At 58.7% G+C, this 6,813-nt stretch overlaps 6 annotated features.

Annotated features, from left to right (window-relative positions):
• Positions 198-347: an enhancer, noted in NCBI's record as "active region_25535". NCBI's record gives its function as "activates an Ori minimal core promoter by ATAC-STARR-seq in GM12878 lymphoblastoid cells {active_cell/tissue: GM12878}" and the evidence as "EXISTENCE:reporter gene assay evidence [ECO:0000049][PMID:35858748]".
• Positions 742-1,714: an enhancer, noted in NCBI's record as "H3K27ac-H3K4me1 hESC enhancer chr7:2570927-2571899 (GRCh37/hg19 assembly coordinates)". NCBI's record gives its function as "activates a minimal SCP1, AML or CMV promoter by ChIP-STARR-seq in naive H9 embryonic stem cells {active_cell/tissue: H9 hESC(naive)}" and the evidence as "EXISTENCE:reporter gene assay evidence [ECO:0000049][PMID:30033119]".
• Positions 2,900-3,820: an enhancer, noted in NCBI's record as "NANOG-H3K27ac hESC enhancer chr7:2573085-2574005 (GRCh37/hg19 assembly coordinates)". NCBI's record gives its function as "activates a minimal SCP1, AML or CMV promoter by ChIP-STARR-seq in naive H9 embryonic stem cells {active_cell/tissue: H9 hESC(naive)}" and the evidence as "EXISTENCE:reporter gene assay evidence [ECO:0000049][PMID:30033119]".
• Positions 3,821-4,740: an enhancer, noted in NCBI's record as "H3K27ac hESC enhancer chr7:2574006-2574925 (GRCh37/hg19 assembly coordinates)". NCBI's record gives its function as "activates a minimal SCP1, AML or CMV promoter by ChIP-STARR-seq in naive H9 embryonic stem cells {active_cell/tissue: H9 hESC(naive)}" and the evidence as "EXISTENCE:reporter gene assay evidence [ECO:0000049][PMID:30033119]".
• Positions 5,450-5,951: an enhancer, noted in NCBI's record as "H3K4me1 hESC enhancer chr7:2575635-2576136 (GRCh37/hg19 assembly coordinates)". NCBI's record gives its function as "activates a minimal SCP1, AML or CMV promoter by ChIP-STARR-seq in naive H9 embryonic stem cells {active_cell/tissue: H9 hESC(naive)}" and the evidence as "EXISTENCE:reporter gene assay evidence [ECO:0000049][PMID:30033119]".
• Positions 5,952-6,451: an enhancer, noted in NCBI's record as "H3K4me1 hESC enhancer chr7:2576137-2576636 (GRCh37/hg19 assembly coordinates)". NCBI's record gives its function as "activates a minimal SCP1, AML or CMV promoter by ChIP-STARR-seq in naive H9 embryonic stem cells {active_cell/tissue: H9 hESC(naive)}" and the evidence as "EXISTENCE:reporter gene assay evidence [ECO:0000049][PMID:30033119]".

The following is a 6,813-nucleotide window of genomic DNA, read 5'->3' on the forward strand; positions in this document are numbered from 1 at the left end:
GCTCCATGTCCCCCCAGTCTAGCCCAGCCAGGCCCCCTTTCCCAAACTTCTGATCATTAATGGGGCTTTCAAAACAAGTAAAACTGCAACCACAGGGGCTGCAGGGCGCTCAGCGAGGGTGGCAGACCTCAGCCGCCACCCCTGCTTCCGTTCTGCCAGGCGAGTGCCTGGGGAGCCCCAAGGCTGCTTGGGGTCTGGGAGGGGCTGCTAGGGTGGGGCGCCTCCCCACTCAGTTGAAAGGAACTTCCCTTCCACTGGGGCCATCAGGGCCAACTTCCTGGAAGAGGTGCCTCTGAGCTGAAGCAGGAAGGCTTTGTCAAGATGGAGTAGGGAGAGAAGGGGCCTTCCAGGTCTCAGCACAGCCTGGGCAAAGGTGCAGAGGTGGGATCCACTGGGAGGACTGGAAGCCTGGGAAGGAGGGCAGGCAATGCAGTTGGGTCTCTTGATCCCCCCTCCCCAATCACAGACAACTAGGGCTCTCCACAGGCTCAGAGGGGCCAGGGCCAGGCTGCTATGTGACTTCAGCCATTCTTGCCGGGTGGGCCTGGGGTCAGAGGGAAAGCAGGGACCAGGGCCAGATCCATCTTCGAGTCTGTCAGAACAATGGGCAAGTCTTGTTCCCTGCTGGGTCCATGTGCCCACACAGCCTCAGCCTTCTTAGATATTCTGCAGGGTGACCCCCTGCTTCTGAGCCCAGAATTGGACACACAGGAAGGCCCTTGGGGCCAGGCGTGGTGGCTCACAGCCGGGCTGTGCCCTCTGCCTGGAGCCGCAGCCTGGATGCCTCCCACCCCACATTTAGGCTTCAGGCCCCACAGCTGCCTCTTCCCAGAACCCTCCCGGCACGCACTTCGGCGACTCTTACAAGTACCTGTTCAGCGTCAGCCTTCGCCCAGGAGTGCAGGCTGGGGACGAGGGCAGTGGCCACCTCTGCCGGTCCTGTCAGCACCTAGTGCAATGTCCAGCCCACCGTGGGCACTCAACGCAGGCGGCTGTGCTGCCGCAGGTCACAGCACCAATCAGACACCCCCATCCCCACACACACCCTGCACCGGCCCACGCGGCCATCACACTCGGAGCACACGCGCTCCGATGTGGCTGCACTGTTGGCACACGCACAGGCGCGCACGTGGGCGCATACACGCCGGGGCGCCCTGACCTCCCCGCACGCCCTCCCGCAGCCGCCCCGGCCTCTGTCCCCACGCGTGTCACACACGGCTGGGTGTGCTCGCTCACGCCGTCCCGCGACGTTGCTCCAGCCGGTGCCCGGAGCTCGATCGGGAGAGCTGCTGTTGGCCGCCTCTGCCTGCCAGCGTTTGCCAAGCGGTTTCCATGGTGACACATCTTGGCTCCGACAGGAACCAAGGAGTGTGGGGAAGAGGGTCCCCACGGAGGGGGCGAGGCGAGGCAGGAGGTCTCTGCGTCTTCAGGCTCCCGGCAGGCATGGGGGGCTCCACGAGTGCAGACACCCCCCAATCCCAAGCCAGGCTTGCACCCCGAGAAGGAGGCTCTGGGCTGGTCCCTCTGGGCTGCCTGGCACAGGGACTGACTTAGGTCAGTCAGTCATTCAACAAACTTTCTGGAAGAGCCACTCTGTGCTCACAGCCGGGTCTACGATGCTGCCCAAGACGTGGTCTCGCAAGAGGCTCGGAGTCGAATCCTGAGGCTAAACTGACGTCCCGCCACCCTACTGAAGGCCCCATCTAGCAGGTTGGTCCGTGGCTGCGTAAGCACCAAGGCCCACCAAGCACTTTCTCAAAGGGGGGCTCCCCTCTGTGGTAGATCAGTTACAAACGTGTCCCCGATGCCCCACTCCTCCCTGAATCACCACGCCCTTTGCTGTGTGACTTTGCCCCAACTCCTGTCTAGAGGTGGCGTCTACTTCCCCATCCTTCAATCTGAGCCTGTCTTATGACTTGCTGTGGCCAATAAAAGGTGACAGCAATGACATTCCCAGCTCTGAGCTTAAGCCTCCAGGGACATGCGTGCCTCTGCCTGCTCTCCCCGACTCCTGCTATAGCACGAGAACGGGCTGGGCTGCTTTGCTGGAAGGCAAGAGGGCGATGGAGCCTGGGTCACCCTAGCTGAGGCCATCCTGGACTAGCTAGCTCCCAGCTGCCCACAGATGTGTGAGTGAGCCCAGCTAGGACTTGCCAGGCCTAGCAATGAGCAGCAGTACCACCAGGCCCTTTAATACTAAGGACATGTGAAGTCATGTGTTTGGAGCTATTTGTTACTCAGCACTAGCTACCTGATACCCCTCTCTCTAGGGCCCTGGCCAGCAGCTGCCCAACCTCAGTTAGCACAGGCCAGAGGCTCTAAAAGTTCCCAGGGGTGCTAAGAACCAGGCCATGGTGACAGCTGGATTCCGCTGGCTAACAGTGCCAGAGGGTGCCGGGGACAGAGCTTGTGGGAGGGGGTTCCCATGACAAGTCCATGGCAGGAGCTACTGAAGCAGAAGCACGAGTCTCCACTGCCTTTCTTTGCCTCGGTTTTTCCCCCTGTGAAATGGGCCCATCACCCTGTCCTGTCTCTTGGGGACCCCTGGTAAGGTAGCGTGTGTGGCAGCTGGAAACAGACCTACTACGTGCCAGCCCCGGGTTGCAACCTAGGGAGAGAGGCCCATTGCTGCCTTCTAGGTTCCCACAACTGAGAAGGCAGCGTCACTAATCCCAGCTTACAGACTGGAAACAGTGGGGAGAGGATGAGTGGCTTGCCCGAGGCCCAGGACACACAGGAGCAGGTGGGCATGGCCACAAGCCCCGGCTGGGTCTGAGCTGGTGGTTATCTTCATGTTTTTCTCCCTGTGGTCACCTTTTTGGAAATTTTTTTTTTTTTTTTTTTTTTTTTTTTACATTTGACTATTTTCTTGTTTATTGGTATTTCTTTGGGAGATTTTTTTTTTTTTTTTTTTTTTGAGATGGAGTTTCGTTCTTTTTTTTTTTATTTTTTTTTTTTTTATTGATCATTCTTGGGTGTTTCTCGCAGAGGGGGATTTGGCAGGGTCACAGGACAATAGTGGAGGGAAGGTCAGCAGATAAACAAGTGAACAAAGGTCTCTGGTTTTCCTAGGCAGAGGTCCCTGCGGCCTTCCGCAGTGTTTGTGTCCCTGGGTACTTGAGATTAGGGAGTGGTGATGACTCTTAACGAGCATGCTGCCTTCAAGCATCTGTTTAACAAAGCACATCTTGCACCGCCCTTAATCCATTTAACCCTGAGTGGACACAGCACATGTTTCAGAGAGCACGGGGTTGGGGATAAGGTGACAGATCAACAGGATCCCAAGGCAGAAGAATTTTTCTTAGTACAGAACAAAATGAAAAGTCTCCCATGTCTACTTCTATCCACACAGACCCGGCAACCATCCGATTTCTCAATTTTTTCCCCACCCTTCCCGCCTTTCTATTCCACAAAACCGCCATTGTCATCATGGCCCATCCCCAATGAGCCGCTGGGCACACCTCCCAGACGGGGTCGTGGCCGGGCAGAGGGGCTCCTCACTTCCCAGTAGGGGCGGCCGGGCAGAAGCACCCCTCACCTCCCGGACGGGGCGGCTGGCCGGGCAGAGGGGCTCCTCACTTCCCAGTAGGGGCGGCCGGGCAGAGGCGCCCCTCACCTCCCGGATGGGGCGGCTGGCCAGGCGGGGGGCTGATCCCCCCACCTCCCTCCCGGACGGGGCGGCTGGCTGGGCGGGGGGCTGACCCCCCACCTCCCTCCCGGACTGGGCGGCTGGCCGGGCGGGGGGCTGACCCCCCACCTCCCTCCCGGACGGGGCGGCTGGCCGGGCAGAGGGCTCCTCACTTCCCAGTAGGGGCGGCCGGGCAGAGGAGCCCCTCACCTCCCGGACGGGGCGGCTGGCCCGGCGGGGGGCTGACCCCCCCCCACCTCCCTCCCGGACGGGGCGGCTGCCGGGCGGAGACGCTCCTCACTTCCCAGACGGGGCAGCTGCCGGGCGGAGGGGCTCCTCACTTCTCAGACGGGGCGGTTGCCAGGCAGAGGGTTTCCTCACTTCTCAGACGGGGCGGCCGGGCAGAGACGCTCCTCACCTCCCAGACAGGGTTGCGGCCCAGCAGAGGCGCTCCTCACATCCCAGACAGGGCGGCGGGGCAGAGGCGCTCCCCACATCTCAGACGATGGGCGGCGGGGAAGAGGCGCTCCTCGCTTCCTAGATGGGATGGCGGCCGGGAAGAGGCGCTCCTCACTTCCTAGATGGGATGGCGGCCGGGCAGAGACGCTCCTCACTTTCCAGACTGGGCAGCCAGGCAGAGAGGCTCCTCATATCCCAGACGATGGGGGGCCAGGCAGAGACGCTCCTCACTTCCCACATGGGGTGGCGGCTGGGCAGAGGCTGCAATCTTGGCACTTTGGGGGGCCAAGGCGGGCAGCTGGGAGGTGGAGGTTGTAGCGAGCCGAGATCACGCCGCTGCACTCCAGCCTGGGCACCATTGAGCACTGAGTGAACGAGACTCCGTCTGCAATCCCAGCACCTCGGGAGGCCGAGGCTGGCGGATCACTCGCGGTTAGGAGCTGGAGACCAGCCCGGCCAACACAGCAAAACCCCGTCTCCACCAAAAAAAAAAACGAAAACCAGTCAGGCGTGGCGGCGCGCGCCTGCAATCACAGGCACTCGGCAGGCTGAGGCAGGAGAATCAGGCAGGGAGGTTGCAGTGAGCCGAGATGGCAGCAGTACCGTCCAGCTTTGGCTTGGCATCAGAGGGAGACCGTGGAAGGAGACCGTGGAGAGAGAGGGAGACGGAGAGGGAGAGGGAGAGGGGGAGGGGGAGGGGGAGGGGGAGGGAGAGGGAGAGGGAGAGGGAGAGGGAGAGGCTGTGTGTCAGAGGTTTTCCTCGGAGTTTCGTTCTTGTTGCCCAGGCTGGAGTGCAATGGCACAGTCTTGGCTAATTGCAACCTCTCCCCTTTTTGGAAATATTGTACTTCCTGAGCTAACTGCACTTACGAGGTAATGATTGGTGTGAGTTTCTAGTCTCTGTTTGTTTGTTTTTTGAGACAGAGTCTCATTCTGTCACCCAGGCTGGAGTGCAGTGGCACAATCTTGGCTCACTGCAACCTCTGCCTCCCGGGTTCAAGCGATTCTCCTACCTCAGCCTCCTGAGTAGCTGGGATGACAGGCACCTGCCACCATGCCCAGCTAATTTTTGTATTTTTAGTAGACAAGGTCTCACCATGTTGGCCAGGCTGGTCCTGAACTCCTGACCTCAAGTGATCCACCCGCCTCGGCCTCTCAAAATGCTGGGATTACAGGCGTGAGCCACTGCGCCCCGGCTCGCTCCTTTTTTTTTTTTTTTGAGACAGAGTCTCACTCTGTTGCCCAGGATAGAGTGCAGTGGTGTGATTTTGGCTCACTGCAACCTTTGCCTCCCGGATTCAAGTGATTCTCCTGCCTCAGCCTCCTGAGTAGCTGTGATTACAGGTGCCCACCACCATGCCTAGCTAATTTTTGTATTTTTAGTGGACGGGGTCTCACCGTGTTAGCCAGGCTGGTCTTGAACTCCTGAGCTCGAGAGATCCGCCCACCTCGGCCTCCCAAAGTGCTGAGATTACAGGCGTGAGCCACCACGCTGGGCCCTGCAGTCTCTTTTCACTGGGTACTGCGGTTCAGTGTTACTGCCTAGGGGCAGCTGATCCGCAGAGCCCCTCCCTCTCTGAGTTCCCCCAGGCCAGAGCTGAGAGCCAGGCTCTCCAGATCCCTGTGGGAGGGCCTTGTATCTGAGTCCAGTTTTCCTCCAGCACGAGGCCTGGCATTTAATTACCTGCTATCTTGTCAGCTGTTCAGTGTTCCTGGCCTTTGGATATTTCACCCAGCGTGTTTCATCGTCTTCAGGGAAACGGCTGGTCCAGGCACCTAGCCTGCTGTCACCAGGAAGGGACATGTGCCCCGAGGCGGGGCTGATGTCACTGCTGCACCCTGGTGGGGCGCACCAGCCCACGGCTGTGCCACCCGGGAGGTGCCCTTTTGTTGGAGGGCATTTGCCAAAACCAGCAAACTTGGGTTCTCATTCTGTGGCCTTGAGGGGTCAGGGGGACAGAAGTCAAGGGCCAGTCCTGCCCAAAATGGGGAGCATTATAGAAAACCCTTCCCACCTTAAGCTGAAAACCTAAAGGTCTACACTCTTAGGGTAAGAATGAAACGGAATTAGCCCTGCTCCCTCCACACGAAAGACACTTGGTGCTAAGAGAAGCAAAAAGAAAAAGTTCTTCAGAAGTTAGGGCTACAGGTCTTCTCTAGCACAGATTTGAGGTGCTAGCACAGATTTGAGGTGCTGCCAAGAATGCAGAGAACTCCAAGCACTCAATGCGTTGTTTTGACATAGGGTCTCTCTCTGTCACCCAGGCTGGAGTGCGGTGGTGTGATCACGGCTCACTGCAGCCTCGAACTCCTGGGCTCAAGCAATCCTCCCACCTCAGCCTCCCAAGTAGCTGGGACTTCAGGTGCATACCACCATGCCCAGCTAATTAAAAACAAAAGAGATACGGCAGGTGGATCACCTGAGGTTAGGAGTTTGAGACCAGCCTGGCCAAACTGGTGAGATTCTGTCTCTACTAAAAATACAAAAATTAGCCAGGCATGATGGTGGGCGCCTGTAATCCCAGCTACTGGGGAGGCTGAGGCAGAATTGCTTGAACCCAGGAGGCGGAGGTTGCAGTGAGCCGAGATCACACCACTGCACTCCAGCCTGGGCAACAAGACTGAGACTCCATCTCTGAACAAAAAAAAATGTGTAGAGATGGGGTCTTGCTATGTTGTCCAGGCTATTCTCAAACTCCTGGCCTTAAACAATCCTCCTACCTCGG

This window comes from Homo sapiens, chromosome 7, assembly GCF_000001405.40.
Source record: "Homo sapiens chromosome 7, GRCh38.p14 Primary Assembly".
Classification (NCBI taxonomy): Eukaryota; Metazoa; Chordata; class Mammalia; order Primates; family Hominidae; genus Homo; species Homo sapiens.